Source organism: Homo sapiens, chromosome 19 (genome assembly GCF_000001405.40).
Source record: "Homo sapiens chromosome 19, GRCh38.p14 Primary Assembly".
In the NCBI taxonomy this organism is placed as follows: domain Eukaryota; kingdom Metazoa; phylum Chordata; class Mammalia; order Primates; family Hominidae; genus Homo; species Homo sapiens.
The window spans coordinates 58,195,426-58,211,983 of NC_000019.10; the positions used below are offsets into that span (position 1 = coordinate 58,195,426).

The 16,558-nt window shown below is 48.0% G+C and overlaps 1 protein-coding gene across 13 annotated transcripts in view; it reads left to right on the forward strand.

The window, feature by feature from the left end:
* The window catches only part of ZNF274 (zinc finger protein 274), a 30,502-nt gene that overhangs the window by 12,365 nt on the left and 1,579 nt on the right, over window positions 1–16,558 (forward strand). For 8 of the 13 annotated variants that reach the window (NM_001278734.2, NM_133502.3, NM_016325.4 and 5 more), the window contains 3 exons: window positions 11,295–11,777; window positions 14,536–14,648; window positions 16,135–16,261. In NM_001278734.2, coding sequence (NP_001265663.1) covers window positions 11,295–11,777; window positions 14,536–14,648; window positions 16,135–16,261 — 723 coding nt within the window. Of the gene's footprint in view, window positions 1–11,294; window positions 11,778–14,535; window positions 15,006–16,134; window positions 16,262–16,558 lie in introns of those variants that run through there. The other 5 variants (XM_047438078.1, XM_017026175.2, XR_001753589.3 and 2 more) reach the window with 4 other exon arrangements.

Consider the following 16,558-nt stretch of genomic DNA (forward strand, 5'->3'; position numbering starts at 1 on the left):
CAGCACATAAAAACATCCGTGTGGAAGTCATAGGTGTTTAGAATGGAATGCTTTACTGTGAGTGTGAGACGGGGAACTGTCTTCTAAAGTGGTCAGTTTCTCCCAACAGTGGCATAGCTGTGCATCTCATTAATGGACAGAACTGGTATTGAGTTTAGACTTGGGCCATTTTGACAACTCTGTGTGCTTCTCGAGCTTCCCATGATAGCAAGAATGGCAGTCAAGTCAGCAGTCCCCAACCTTTTTGGCACTAGGGACCGGTTTTGTGGAAGACAGTTTTTCCGTGGACCTTGGGGTGGGGAGGGATAGTTTTGAGATGAAACTGTTCCACCCCAGATCATGAGGCATTAGATTCTCATAAGGAACATGCAGCCTAGATCCCTCATGCACAGTTTACAATAGGGTTCATGCTCCTGTGAGAGTCCAGTGCCACTGCGGATCTGACAGGAGGTGGAGCTCAGATGGTAATGCTCATTTGCCTGCCGCTCACCTCCTGCCGTGCAGCCTGGTACCAGTTTATGGCCTGGCAGCTGGGGACCCCTGGTTTAAGTAGAAGGGAAACAAATGCTAGGACAAATGGCATTCATCCTCAGGAAAGCACTGAATGAGGAATGATGCTGTGACAGTAAGCAATGTAGGGAAAATAGGTGGCACTCGAATCTTCAGCTCTCACTAATGTCCCTTCAAGAACCATTGCCATATATGTGGCTCTTGGGTGGAATACTTGAGATGTAAACTATTACAGATTTAGTCATTAGGAAAGGAATGCAGGGAAGAGACTATTATGAAGGTCATGATTTAGGAAACCCTGCAGGGCATTTTACATTTTTTACTTGTCAAGAAGTTAAGTAGAGGCCAGGCACGGCGGCTCATGCCTGTAATTGCAGCACTTTGAGAGGCCAAGGTGGGCAGATCATTTGAGCTCAGGGGTTTGAGACCAACCTGGGCAACATGACGAAACCCTATTGCTACATAAAATAGAAAAAATTAGCCACACATGGTGGCGTGTGTCTATAGTTCCAGCTACTTGGGAGGCTGAGGTGGGAGGTTGGCTTGAGCCTGGAAGGTGGAGGTTGCAGTGAGCTGGGATCCTGCCACTGCAGAAAAAAAAACAAAGTTAAGTAGGAAATGAGTCCTACAAATAAGAACTTAGCAGCTTTTTTGAAACATAGACCAAACATGAGTCTGAAAAATAAGTTTGATGAGGTGAGTGTTTTATTGGGAGGAAGAAAGCCAAATTCTTCTTGAGATTCCATCCTTTGTATAGCTTGAGAGGGTCACATAGGCTATAGAGTGATCAACAGCATACCATTCTTTTATCCAAGAATAAGATGGAGTAAATGTGTTTAGTTTGAAAAAATTCACTTTCAGCCTGTCTTTGCCCTCTTTAATGTTTTTGCCCTCTTTAATGTCTTTGCCATCTTTCACGGGACATTAACCAGCAAACACCCCAAATGAAGTAAGTCCTTTTCATGAACTTTTCACCATCTGAGAACTCACACAGGGAAGAAACCTCAGAAATATGATCACGTGAGGAAAGACTTCTGGCCTAACTCAGTCTTATCTTGAGAGGATTCATACTGGAAAAGTTCTTACATTGAGTATTACATCTAAGAGCTTCTGAAACCATGAGAATATAATTGCTGTGGGAAAGGTTTTATGCATAGCTCCCTTATTCAGCATCACAGAAGTTGTACTAGAGATTACCTGAGAACATAGGGCTGGGAAGCCTTCGGGTGTCCCAGAACTCACTGGCAAGGATCCCTCTCTGAACACAGCATTTTGGGAACCCCTTCAGTAGGAGTCCTCATTGTTTTCAGCATCAGAGGACTCATATGGGCAAACATCCTGTGAATGAAATCTGTGCAGACAAATGACCAGCCTTAACTCTCACCTTATGTGACAGAACGAAAAAAATATACACTGAAAAGAACCCCGTTGAATAATAAAAATGAAATGTCTCATCCTATTTTTATATCATGTCGTAGAGAAGGCAAACCCTACATAAAACACTGATAAGTATATAAATGTAGTCTTGTCTCTTCTAATTTGCTTATTATCTGACCTGAACATCTAGAACAAATATTTAAAATATGGATGAGAGCAGGTGTTCTTTTACTTCTGTATGTCCCCATTTGCTAACACAATGACTGAATTACTAGGAACTCAGTACATAACGTTGAGTGAATAGATGTCTGAAGAAGTTGCAGGAGACAAGAATATGTCTTCAAAGAGAAGACTGAATACAAGGCCAGGCTTTGAAACAAAAGGGTAGGTAAGAGAGGGTAAAGGAAAATCTTGAGAGAGTGCTACAAAGAACTCTGCGGGGCCCACATTCTTGGCAACTAGGTTGAGTCTGGAATGTTGGGTGGCTGTCAAACATGTTTTGGCTGGAATTCAGTGAAGCAGAGTCATTTCATGCTTTGTGATCTTTTATTGAAGAACACTTTACATTCTCTGCCACCTCCCACATATCTGATCTCTAAGACCTGTGTAAATCGTGATCCTCTTATCTGGGGATCACTCTCCCTGTGTTCTAGGGCTTGTACTCAGGGATAACTTCAAAGTCTGAAATGTCTTAAGTAGTAATTAAGAAGGAAAACAAACGAACTAAGTGTTTGAAGCAGACATTTTTGGGGGGAAAGAAAAATACCATCAACAGTCCTATAGAAAGAGGAACAATGGCTTTAAGAAAAAAAAAGAAGAATAAATGAGTCAGAAATAGAGAAGAAAAAAATATTCCAAGAGCTCATTTTCTGGATAGGCAGAATGCCAAAATGACTTTGAGTAAGTAAAGAATAAATAACCAACCAGTAAACCTATACAGGGGAAAAGAACCTGTACAGATATTTTACATGTAGTTTTTAGTTACAGTAGTTTGCACAGCTGTTACAAAGAATGAGCAACCTCTTTATGTATTGATTTGAAACCACATGTGTGTACTTAAAGTATATGACATTTTAATATATAAATATACATAAACTATTTCTTAAAATTTAAGTGTGCTTGCTTTGGCTTCACATATACTAAAATTGGAACAGTACAGAAGATGAGCATAAAAATTTAAAAATAACAAAATACATAGTCAAGTGCGAACACACAAACATGGTTGTGTGTCAGTTGATCATCAGTGGAAAGACATGGAGACTTCTTTGGAATTTTATATTAATTTTCGGAGGTGCTGCCCATAACTGTGATCATATGGAAATGGTAGCTCCTTCCTGTTGTGTCACTGCTTCCTGGTCCAGTTCCTGACACAGTATAGGTGCTCAGTAATTATTTGTTGAGTGTAGGAATGAACAAACAAAACATGGAAAGATTTTTGGAAAAGTGTAGAGTTGCCAAAATTAGTCCTAGGAGAAATATTAAAATTAACTTTGACTTTTTTTTTTTTTTTTTTTTAGAACAAATTGACCACTTGCATCTGAGTACTGCCCTGAGCAGTGGAGATTTTTTAACTTCCCATTAAAGACAGGGATGGGTGCAGTGGCTCACCCATCTCAGCACCTTGGGAGGGTGAAGTGGGAGAATTGCTGGAGCCAGGAATTGGAGACCACCCCGGGCAGCATAGCAATTCCTGGTCTCTACAAAAAATTTAAAAATTAGCCATGTGTGCTGGGGTGCGCACCTCTGAAATACTATTAAAATGATACTATTTGGCTGGGCACGGTGGCTCAGTCCTGTAATGCTGGCACTTTGGGAGGCCGAGGCAGGTGGATCACCTGAGGTCAGGAGTTTGAGACCAGCCTGGCAAACATGTCAAAACCCTGTCTCTACTAAAACTACAAAAAATAGCCAGGTGTGGTGGTGGGCGCCTGTAATCCCAGCTACTTAGGAGGTTGAGACAGGAGAATTGATTGAACCCGGGAGGCGGAGGTTGCAGTGAGCCGAGATTGTGCCACTACACTTCAGCCTGGGCGACAGAGCAAGACTCTGTCTAAAAAAAAAAAGATTCAGCAAAATGACATTACAAAATAAATTCATAGTAATAGCTTGGCTTGGCCAGGTATGGTGGCTCACACCTGTACTGGAGTGGCTCAATCCCGATACTTTGGGAGGCCAAGGTGAATGGATCACTTGAGGCCAGGAGTTCAAGACCAGCCTGGCCAACATGGTGAAACTCTGTCTCTACTAAAAATACAAAAACTTAGCCGGGCGTGGTGGCGTGCACCTGTAATTCGGGAGGCTGAGGCATGAGAATTGCTTGAACTCAGGAGTTGGATGTTGCCATGAGCAGAGATCGCACTACTGCAGTCCAGCCTGGCTTATGGTGCGAGATTCCATCTCAAAAAGAAAGAAAAAGCTTTGGTTTACACCAGGAATATCAAATTTGACATGGATATACAAAATACATTAATACCTTTAAAAAGTTATACCAAAGAATAAATTATTAAAGAATGAGCAGGACCTATTTGAAGAAAGTTGTAAGTGCTGGAGTGTGGAAGACTTGATAAATAGAAGTATTAACTTATTTTGAGGGCTTAAAAAGGCTAGAAGTACTGATGTCCTTTTCCTGAGTCCTGAAGTCATTCTAGCCATCAACCTCTGGAGAAATGCTGCTGGGGCCATTTTACCATGGGACCAGAAATACAAGTCCCTGACATGGGCTTGGCTGAGAAGAAGCAAGTGGGGTGCAAACTATGTGTGCTTTCATGTTGCAAAGAAGCTGTGTTGAATCAACAAATATTACTTGAGCACTTGCCAGGATTCCAGGTACTGTTCCAGGGCTGGATCACAGTGATGAGTGGGGCAGGTCTTACACCTGCTTTCATTGGGCCTACATCCATTCCATGGCTGATTGGATCAACAAAAATGAAGTTGCCCATTCAGTACCTCAATTGCACTGGGCACCTTTCAACTGCTCATTGGCCCTGCAGCTAATGCTACTATGTTGGACAGTACAGATCTAGAACATCTCATTTATAGAAAGTTCCATTGGACAGCACTGCTCTAGATAGGGTGATAGACATGATAAATTAATGAATCAGATATTTGGGATGGTAATGAGTGTTGGAAAGAGAAGGAAACAATGGGATACATTGGTGGGGGACAAGCGAGGTACGGGTGGGCAGCAGTAGTTCAGAACTAAGTAGGAAGATGGTTCTGAGGAGGTGACGTTTGAGCTCAGACCTGAATGGGAAAGGCGAACCAGGTGAAGATGTTGGGGAAGGTGAACCAGGCGAAGATGTTGGGGAAGACTATACCAGGCAGGAGGGTGGTGCACATGTGGATCTCTGGATGAAAGGCCATATTCTAGGAAAACTAAGATGGTGGCTGTGGGAGACCCCTTTAGCGTCAAGGACATGAAATAACAGGGTTTGGAACCCGGCTCCTTTGTTGCCCACTATGTTAGGCCGTTCTTAAATTGCTGTAAATACCTGAGACTGGGTTATTTATGAAGATAAGAGATTTAATTGGCTCACAGTTCTGCAGGCTGTACAAGGGTGGCACTGGCATCTGGTTGGCTTCTGGGGAGGCCTCAGGGAGCTTTTTACTCATGGTGGAAGGCAGGGAGCAGGCACATCATGGGAAAAGCAGCAGCCAGAGAGAGGAAGAAGGTGCCGCATACTGTTGTTTGTTTGTTTTGTTTTTTTTTTTGGAGACACGGTCTCACTCTCACCTAGGCGGTAGTACAGTGGTGCGATCATGACCCACTGCAGCCTCGACTTCCTGAGTTCAAGCGATTCTCCCACCTCAGCTTCCTGAGTAGCCAGGACTACAGGCACATGCCGCTACGCCTGGCTAATTTTTTTTTTTTTTTTTTTTTGTGGAGATGGGGTTTTGCCATGTTGCCCAGGCCGGTCTAGAACTCCTGGGCTCAAGCGAACCACCTACCTCAGCCTCCCAAGGTGCTGGGATTACAGGCGTGAGCCATTCTGCCCGGCCACACTTTTTTAAACAACCAGATCTCGTGTGATTAACTTAACCACCAGGAGGATGGTGCTAAGCCATTCTTGAAGGTTCACCAGGCCCCACCTCCAACACAGCATCACTTTTCAACCTGAGATTTGGTAGGGACACAGAACCAAACCGGATCATCCACTCTGCAACCCTGGGCAGGGTTCCTAGCCTATCCCAGCATGAATTTCTTTTTTTTTTTTTTCTTTCTGAGATGGAGTCTTGCACTGTCGCCCAGGCTGGAGTGCAGTGGTGTGATCTTAGCTCACTGTAACCTCCACCTCCTGGGTTCAAGTGATTCTCCTGCCTCAGCCTCCCAGGTAGCTGGGACTACAGGTGCCCGCCACCTCGCCTAGCTAACTTTTGTGTTTTTAGTAGAGACGGGGTTTCACCATATTGGCCAGGCTGGTCTCAAACTCCTGACCTTGTGATCTGCCCACCTCGGCCTCCCAAAGTGCTGGGATTACAGGCATGAGTCACCGCACCAGGCATATTTCTTTTGTGTATGGTGTACATTTGCTTCCTGGGACTGTGGGCAGCCTTCGTGAAATGATGGTACTGTCATTGATTCAAAAACTGAGTAACGTAAAGATGATCAGCAGCCTTTGGCAGATCCTCTACTTAGGGGTGTGAGATCCACAAGTCCCAGTTGGCAGCCTCAGTGGTACACTGGAGGAGACAGATGCAGAAGGTAATCCAACAGGGAGCTTAGGGGCACTGAGGGAATGATGAGAGAGAACAGGAGAGCTGAGAGCTTTCCAGACAAGGAGGAAAAGTGATGGGGTACTGTGCCCAGGGATTAGGGGAGCTGAGGGTAAGTACTCTTCTGACTTTTCCCCCACAAGCTGCTAAAAAGATCATTGCTTTTCGTTATATTTTGGACTGGTATACCTGGCTAATCAGCATTCACTGGCAAACAGCACTGTGAGGAAGACAGCTGCCTAAGGCCTGTTTGTCACCCTGGAAGGGAAGCAGCAGAGAGGTAGAAGTATCCTGAGAGAAGAAAATAGTGTCAAGAGGGAGAAAGCAGCAGCTCCCATCAAGCCCTTACCACATGCTGTGCCTGGACTTTGGTATCTCATCACTTTGGGTGAAGAAACTCAGGCTCAAGAAGTTAATCTCTCTTGATTAAACCCCTTGCTTTGAGCCTCAGTGAATTTGTTTCACAACCCATTAGACAGACAGTTGTAGGTGAGGTGACTACATTGCTACGGGCTCATTCAGTTGCTGGACTGAAAGCCATTTGGAGCTCCAGCTGATAGGGATTATGCAGCTCCACATGAGTGGGTTGGGTCAGTCATGTCTGTGGAATGAGATGGGTGGAATGAGAATCCAGTTCCACCTCTGCCTGGTGGTGAACTTAAGAGCTTCCATTTTCTCCTCCATGAAGTGGAGCAGCTAATTTCCTGCAATAGACAGTGGTAAGGATTGCCCTAAAGGTCTTGGGATAGTCTATGGGTTGACATTTGGAGGACTGAGGTGCACAGAATGAGTCCATCACTTCCTCACCAGTTTCTGGGTTTGTGGTCTCTCTGTTCACTGTGGTGTCCTTGGTTCCACAGCATGCAAAAGGTGCTTTATGATAACTGTGTACAGAACAGAGTGTGGGGCCTCATGGGTTAATAATAAAGATTAAAGCAGAAGTAAGTACATTAGAAAGGGGTGGGGTGGAGTAGAAGAATCCAACAGTTGTTTTCCTAGGGGCCAAGGCATGAAAATCCCTCGATTAAGGAATACAAAAATGAAATTTTAGAAATTTATGAAGTAACGTTTAAGATGTTTAAGTGTCATGCATGGTTACCTAAAATAGTACTGGTGGCCCAGTGCTGGTCTGCCACTTAGCCCCCCCCCAGGAAGTACAGATTCAGTTGGTGCATGTCCCATGTCCTAGGCACTTAGTCCGGTGCTGCTGGGCCTCCAGTAAATCTTATCCCCAGCTGCTTCTCAGGAAAAATTCAAGCCTTAAGAGCTGTAATTGGGCTGGGCACGGTGGCTCACACCTGTAATCCCAGCACTTTGGGAGGCCGAGATGGACGGATCACCTGAGGTGAGGAGTTCGAGACCAGCCTGGCCAAGATGGCGAAACCCTGTCTCTACTAAAAATACAAAAATTAGCTGGGCCTGGCGGTGGGCGCCTGTAATCCCAGCTGCGGCTGAGGCAGGAGAATTGCTTGAACCCGGGAGGCGGAGGTTGCAGTGAGCCGAGATCCCTCCACTGCACTCTAGCGTGGGCGACTAAGAGCGAAACTCCGTCTCAAAAAAAAAAAAAAAAAGAAAAAAACGCTGTAATTGAAAGAAAATAAATGAAGTATGCTTTCAAATTAAGAAAAGTTACTTGGGGCGAAGTAAGTCCCCAGAAGTCCTAAGAAACAGAAAGGGAATTAAATACAGATCAGAGCACTTATAAATGAGTTGGAGAGGCCAAGCCCCCAAAATGAAAATACCTCAAAAGCTTATTTGGGGGAAGAGGTTGGAATTAGGTGCACAAGTGTGTCTGATTAATCTTATCAAGAAGAAAAATCACTTCAAGCGTAGACTGGTAATGGTCGAAAATTTAAAGCGTGGCTCAGGTCGTGATCTACAATTGCGCCACCTCGCTGGAAGGACGGCCTGGGCTGCGAGAAGGCAGCGCGGGCACTGGCTCTGGGCAGATCCCAGCGCGGAGCTGACTCCCTGGGCCCGTGCCAGCGGTGGGCACCTCCAGCCAAACCTGTGCAGCGCGCAAACGGGAAGCCCAGACAGACCAGGGTTTGTACTCGAGGAACGGGAGAGGGGAGGGGTTGGGAGCCGTCTGCTGTGGCCTCAGCGGAACGTCTACCCCAGCCCGCGAGGTCCGGAGAAATACCTTCAGGTGGGGCAGGCGTGGAAACTCCTGCCGCACTGCCCCGTTGCCCCATGTAGGCCCAGGACGTGTCCCTGTCAGCGGGGACTAGGGAGAACGGTACCGGAAGCCCGTGTCTCGGAGGCTGCTGGGAGCTGTAGGCCCCGCGGGTGTCGTAGTTCTGGGCGCTTTTCCGGGTCCAGGGGGGGCAGGGTTCGAGGCGTGGCCTAGAGGCGTTGTAGGCGTCGACCCATTTCGTCGGCTGAGAGACTGGGTCTTGTGTGGACGGTGCTATTCTGGGCGAAAGGGTTAGCTTATGGTTGTGGCCTCGCATTCCTGAGTGCGCGATGACGGACTCGGCGGGTGCGTGAGAGACCAGGGCCGAGGAGGGGTCTGTGCAGGCGGCTTCCGGGCTCTGAAAGATGCTTCCGCCCGAGCTTTTTTATTTTTAACGTAGCTGCAGCTATTGCACACTAGTAATTTTCTGCTCTGCGACCGTTTTTCTGCGCTGTAATAATCACGCTAAAAGTAGTGCAGGTTTTACTGCTTACAAGGGAGTTTTTAACAATTTTCTTAAACTGTGTTACAACACTACCCGTTCTTCCAGTTTTGTCCTAACACCGCGCGGGGCAGGAATATTCCAGGTATGTTGTGGAAATAAAGACCAGGCCGTCCAGATGAGGACACCCAGAGGTTGACTCAGAGCCGGGTATAGTAGGGAGCCAGCCACGGTCCCTTGTGTTCTGTAGAGAGAGTCAAAGGCAGGTAGGGAGTGAGAAGACGTGCATTCATAAGGAAGGGTTCTGAGTGGAGAACCCTATTGGCTTGGCGGGGAGCAGTAAAAGGGTATATTGGCAGTCATCTAAGTCCTGAGCTGTGCTTGTTGCCAGAGGTTGTGGGTCAGTGCTGTGTTAACTATATTTGGTTTGGCTGTTGTGTTTTTATTCATTCCTTTGGTGCCTCTATACCTATCTTCATCTCCGAATAGCTCCAGTAGATTCATCCCGTGAAAGTAGCTGTGGTTCCTTGCTGTGGCTTTGCTAGTTCATGCTGAGCTACTTCCTGGTAGAATTGTGCTGACCATTTATATTCACAACAGCAAGGGTGAAATTGCAGGTTTGCTCTTGTCGTTGCCACTAAATATTACAAATATCAAAAGTAAGTCATAATCTGTAGTTATTTATACTTTTATATTTGTTTTTAAGGCCTTATTTTTTAGGGACAATATCAGGCTTGGTAGCCAAGGCTGGAGTGCAGTGGTGCAATCATAGATAACTGTAAAATCAAATTATTGGGCCCAAGCAGCCCTCCTGCCTCCAAGTAGCTAGGACCACAGGTGTATGCCATCACACCTGATTAATTTAAACTTTTTTAGAGACAGGGTCTCACTATGTTGCCCAGGCTGGTCTCAAGCTCCTGGCGTGAAGCGAATCTCCTGCCTCAGCCTCCCAAAGTGCAGGGATCACAGGTGTGAGCCACCCCGCTGGCCAAATTATTTAGAATTAGCATTTTGAAGGGGAGTTTTAGAGAGCTTTCTTGTTTCCTCTTGTTTTGTGCTGCCTCCTCAGCATTTCAGGACAGTCCTGGAGTTCAGTTTAGCAATGTGCTCTTGTGGACTCTGTGCCAGGACCCAGAGCCCCTGCCTTTCCCATATATCCTCGTTCTTGTCCCCAGTGGAGGTTGGAGAAGGTTCTTTTTCCTGTGACCATGCATACATGTACAGTGTCACAGATCCCTTCTCAACCCTCATTGCCTTTTGTTCTTTCCCTATAACAGCTCTATGGAGATATAATTCACACATTGTAAAGTTCACTCTTGTAAAGTGTACAGTTCAGTGTTTTTAAATATATTCACAGGGTTGTACAGCTGTCACTACTGTCTAATTCCAGAACATTTTCTTCACCCAAGAAAGAAACCGCATACCCATTAGCAGTCTCCCACCAATCCTCTCAATTTCTCCATTTCCTAACAATTACTAATCTACTTGTCTGTCTGTGGATTTTTATATTCTGGACATTTCATATAATATGTGGCCTTTTGTGTCTGGCTTCTTTTACTTAGCATGATGTTTTCAAGTTTCACCTGTGTTGTAGCATATATTAGTAGTACTTCATTCCTTTTTATTGCCAATATTTCATTATATGACTAGATCACAATTTGCTTATACATCCCTCAGTTGATAGACAATGGGTTATTTGTACTTGTTGGCTATTATGGATAACACTTTGGTGAACATTCTTATAGAAGTTTTTGGGGACATATGCTTTCAATTTTCTTAGCTATATATACTTGGGGGGAATGTCTGGGTCATGGATAACTATGTGTTTAACTTCTGAGGATTTACCAACCTGTTTTGCAGAGTGGTACAGCATTTTATGTTCCCACCAACAGTGTGTGAGCATTCTAGTTTTTCCACATCCTCTCCTGTTATCATCTGTCTTTGGTAACAGCCATGCTAGTGGGTTTGAAGCATATTCCACTGTGGTTTTGACTTGCATTTCCCTAGTGAATAATGGCGTTGAGCATCTTTTCATGTGCTTGTTCTCATTTGTCTTGCTCTGCTTTTGACTTACAGAGTATCCTGAGCTCCAGCTGGACCCTAAATTGGATCCTCTTCCTGCTGAGAGTCCCCTAATGAACATTGAGGTTGTTGAGGTCCTCACACTGAACCAGGAGGTGGCTGGTCCCCGGAATGCCCAGATCCAGGCCCTATATGCTGAAGATGGAAGCCTGAGTGCAGATGCCCCCAGTGAGCAGGTCCAACAGCAGGGCAAGCATCCAGGTGACCCTGAGGCCGCGCGCCAGAGGTTCCGGCAGTTCCGTTATAAGGACATGACAGGTCCCCGGGAGGCCCTGGACCAGCTCCGAGAGCTGTGTCACCAGTGGCTACAGCCTAAGGCACGCTCCAAGGAGCAGATCCTGGAGCTGCTGGTGCTGGAGCAGTTCCTAGGTGCACTGCCTGTGAAGCTCCGGACATGGGTGGAATCGCAGCACCCAGAGAACTGCCAAGAGGTGGTGGCCCTGGTAGAGGGTGTGACCTGGATGTCTGAGGAGGAAGGTAAGTAGAAGGGTGGGTAGAGGGACAGCTTAATGAGGGTGTCTTGGAGTACCCTGTGGGGGAGATAAGAACTCCAGGCTTCCTAGGAAGGTCATGGGAAGGATTGTGTCCGCTCCATACAGACCAAGGACATCCATGTTGCCCACGTGTTCCTGAGTCAGAGCCACTGAAACCCTTGCATTCTTTAGCCCTTCGTGGGCTTCTGATGGAAGCACACAGATGAAGTGCTTCATTTTTATCCCTCTGGCATCCCTGCTGCACCATAAGCCCTGTAGCACTTGATAAGATAGATGGGAATACTGAGCTCAGAGAGCCCGCAGTAGCAGGAGAGACAGGGATTTGACAAATGAGAATGCATAGAAAAATGCTGGGACTATGAGGAGCTCGAGGTGATGGTGAGGCTTATGAAGGTCTGCAGCTGACACCTGGTGTGGAGTGGAACTTGGCCAGGGTAAAGAAAGGGGGCAGGAAAGATGTGCCATGCAGAGGGGAGCACTGCCTGTAAGGGCCAAGATGGAAGGGATCACAGTAAATGCAAAACTCAGAAAAATCGGTTATGTTTGTGATGGAAGGGAGCAGAGGTTGGAGCTGGCACTGCCAGTGGGGACTTTAGTCCTAAAGCAAAGCAAAATGTTCTTCTAAAACAGTAGGGCTCGATCCCTGAGTTCCAGAAACTGGTGGCACCACTGGATTTGACCTTTAGAGATTTACCAGGCTGCATGTGTGGTGGATGGTGGACAGAGGATGGGGGCGAGGCTGGACACAGGCTACCCGCAGCTATTGCCATGCCCTCTGATGGGGTGGTGTCTTGGATAGGAGTGATGGTGATGTCTGACTGGGGAGAGACTACACGTGTGGAGTGTGTATTTGGGAATAAGACTGCAAGACTTGGTTTCTTCATCAGGCTGAGTTTCACAGAGCGTGCATGCTTCTGCATTGCTCACCTCCATTTTCCACATTTCACGGGTGCCCAGAAGATGTTTCTGATGTGAACGAATGATTGACTGGTTGATGTTTGTGATTGCAGGAAAGGGGAAGGTATCCTGCAGGGGGATGGTGGGATTCTAAGAGGCCAGGGCATCCTGGAGATCGGGTATCCGAGGCAGCAGGGCAGGCACTTGCATGAGTTGTGTCAGATGCACCAAGTCTGGGGTGCTGTACTTGGCAGAATAATTGCCCCAAAGGTGTCCATGTCCTGACTCCTGGACCCTGTGAATAAGTTGCCTCACATGACAAAGGGGACTTTGCAGAAACAATTAAGGATCTTGAGAGGGAGAGATGCACTGGATTATTTGAGTGGATCTAACATAACCACAGGGGCCCTTAGGAGAGGGAGGCTGGAGGGTCAGAGGAGATGTAATGATAGGAGCAGCTGATAGAGGAAGAAGCCATAAGCCAAATGTTTGGGGCAGCCTCTAGAAGCTGGAAAAGGCAAGGAATGGATTCTCCCTTGGAGCCTCCAAAAGGAACATAGCCATGCTGACACCTTCATTTTAGCCCAGTGAGGCACAAACCAGACTTCTCATCTCCAGAACCATAAGGTAATACATTTGCATTAATCTGAGCCGCTGGCATTGTGGCAATTCACTATAACAGCAATAGGAAACTAGTTAGTTAGGTGCCAAGGAGACAGTTGTGGGGTTAATGAGGTGAAAGTCAGTGAATTCACCCTGTGTTTAACCTCAGGGGTGAATAAAATAAATTAGTGCCACAGAAGACAATGGGAAGAGGCTTTCCAGAGAACCCTGAGAATCTCACATTATGTGATCAGTGTGTTAGTTGGGACGCTTGAGTGTGACTGCTGCAAAGCCTTGCACAGAATGGCTCAAGGGAGAAGGAGAATTTATTGGAAAAGTTCCAGGGTGCTCGAGCATCAGGCAGGGCTGGACCCAGGAGCTCCAATAGTGTCCTCCAGACTTGTCCTGTCCCTCATTCTTACCTCTTCTGCCCTCCACTGGCTTCATCATGGGCAGGCTGTCTCCCTGCATGGGATTTCTCTTTCCCAAATGTTCCAACTAAGGCCTTGTTGGCTCCAATCATCTGGCTATAGGCTGTGTTCATCCCAGATCTAATCACTGTGGCCAAGAGAAAGGGATGGTCCAGTGTGCCAGCCTAAGTCATCTTGTGGCCCACCTTGATGGTGGGGGTAGATTAGCATTGTGGAAGCCTGTGGACCATTTGGGGTCATGTGAGGAAGGTTAGAATGAAGGAGCCGTGGTTACAGGGGCCCTTGGGCCAGGTGGAGCTGTTGTTTTCTTAGGTGGAGGAGACTTGGTGACGTTCACCTCAAGATGGCTGCATTTCATGGGTCCAGGGAAAGTCTCACCTTCCATGAGGTGGGAGGAGAGAGGGAAGAAGGAAGAGGTGCCCAAATAGGCAGGGTGCAGGGCTTGGAGGCCGGAAACAGGGGCTTTGACTCTAAGGAGGGGGCGTCAGTCAGCTGCCTCACAGGAGGGGCTGGGGCCCTCAGCAGCCCCCGGAAAGGGAAGGAGTGGGACCAGAGTCTCAGCAGTGAGGACACTGGTGCCCTGTGACCCTTGGAGGGTGAGCCATCCCGGGCCCATCCAGGTGTGGGCACTCGGGCACGTGCTGTGAGGGGAGCAGAGCTGGTGGGAAGGGAGGACAGGAGCAGAGGCTGTCATGGAGCCACAGTACGATGCAGGGGTGCGGTGGCCCCATGGGTTGCAGAGAGGCCACCCTTGCCCTGCCTAAGGGTCCCCACACCTGCTGACCTCCTCTGGCTGGTGTCTCCTCCCAGTACTTCCTGCAGGACAACCTGCCGAGGGCACCACCTGCTGCCTCGAGGTCACTGCCCAGCAGGAGGAGAAGCAGGAGGATGCAGCCATCTGCCCAGTGACAGTGCTCCCTGAGGTAAGCGGGGAGTATCACCCTGTTTTGGTCACAGCATCTCCTGTGAGGCAGGCCCACCCCTGAGGCATCCACTCTGCCCTGGGCTTTCCTAAGACCTCCCACAGGCTGGGACATTCTGAGATTCTGAGCTCTTAGGTCTGTGCTGAAGCAATCTGAGTATGAAGAGCAGCCCTGCCCTCCAGCCACTGTGGCATCACTGGAGACAACGCATGGTGACCCGGGAGCTGAGAAAGCAGGAGGCAAGAGGGAAGGGACTAAGTGTTTACAGAGACTTGAGAGGTGGAACTACCACAGGCAGGCACATCTGTATCCAGGTCAGAACAAGAGAGCCCTCAACCTTCAGAAATGCATACTTAGGTATTTATCTTTGGTATCTGGGATTTGCTTCAGAATAACCCAGAGCTGGGGTGTGGGTGAAAAAGATTGGTCCTGATGCGCTGACCACTGGGGTAGTGGTATGTATGTGTCATTGGTCAGACCTGTTTGCACTGCAAATGGCTTATACTGGCTCAAGCGTAGAAGTCAATTTATTGGCTCTCATGTATTCTCTGGTAGGCTTCAGGCAAGGCTGCATCCAGGTGCTCCCAGGTGATGGGAAGAATCTCTGGCCAACCTGTTTCATGGCTCTGCTTTCTCCCCTTTCTTCTTCTTTTTTTTTGAGATGGAGTTTCACTCTTGTTGCCCAGGCTGGAGTGCAATGGCGCGATCTCAGCTCACTGCAACCTCTGCCTCCCAGGTTCAAGTGATTCTCCTGTCTCAGCCTCCTGAGTAGCTGGGATTACAGACAGCTGCCACTACACCCGGCTAATTTTTGGTATTTTTAATAGAGACGGGGTTTCACCATGTTGGCCAGGCTGGTCTCGAACTCCTGACCTCAGGTGATCCACCCGCCTTGGCCTCCCAATGTGCTGGGATTATAGGTGTGAGCCACTGCGCGTGGCCACTCCCCTTTCTTCTTAGGCAGATTCTGCCCCATGTAAGCAAAATGCCTCAGATCCTGGCAAAGCAGCGTTGGGGGTACCTCTTCTTCCCAAAGTCCTGGTCAGTTCCCCAGAAAGGACCAGTCATGGCTGTGCCAGGGTGACTGCCCTCCCCCAGGTCAGCCCTGTCGACAAAGGCAGGGGCTTGGTTGTCATTTCCACCAAGTGGGAAGACAGTATTAATAGATGGAGAACCCTCTGCAGTGGGAAGATTTCAGCAATGGGCAAGCTGGATAGAGCCGTGGTTAGGATGGAGTTGTTTGCTTGTTGCACTTGGAGCTCTTTATGAAGCAAGGGCTCTGCCTCCCAGCCTGAGACCCAGACCCTGGTTTGGACCCAGTAGAACTCTTGTGGGCCCTGGGTTGGTGTCTCTGAGCAAATCCCCAAAGCAGGAGAGTCCCTAGCACCGTGAGCTCTGTCAGAACCTCCCAGCTGGCCTTTCTTCTGCCCTCATTGACAACCCTCTGACCCTCTTGCTGAGCATAGACACATATGTGATGTTACAGGAGCCAGTGACCTTCCAGGATGTGGCTGTGGACTTCAGCCGGGAGGAGTGGGGGCTGCTGGGCCCGACACAGAGGACCGAGTACCGCGATGTGATGCTGGAGACCTTTGGGCACCTGGTCTCTGTGGGTAAGGCTGTGCCCCCTCTTCACCCACCTCAGGGCTGGTAGGCCACAGGAGCCCCAAGTCAGGGGTGTTCACCTTCTCTAGACTCCACACTGGGCATTCCCTCAAGGGGCCCTTGCTGCATCCAGGGCCTGTAAGTGGAACTGTAGACCTAGAGGGGTGAGGTCACTGGGTGGCCAGAAGCAGCCTTAGGTCCGGTGAAGGAGTGATTTGCTATCTATCTCCTGAGGGAGTATGAGAGAACAGGAACTCGAAGAGCTCGGAGGACACTCCCTGCCCTTCCTGTCCCTTGTTCACCAA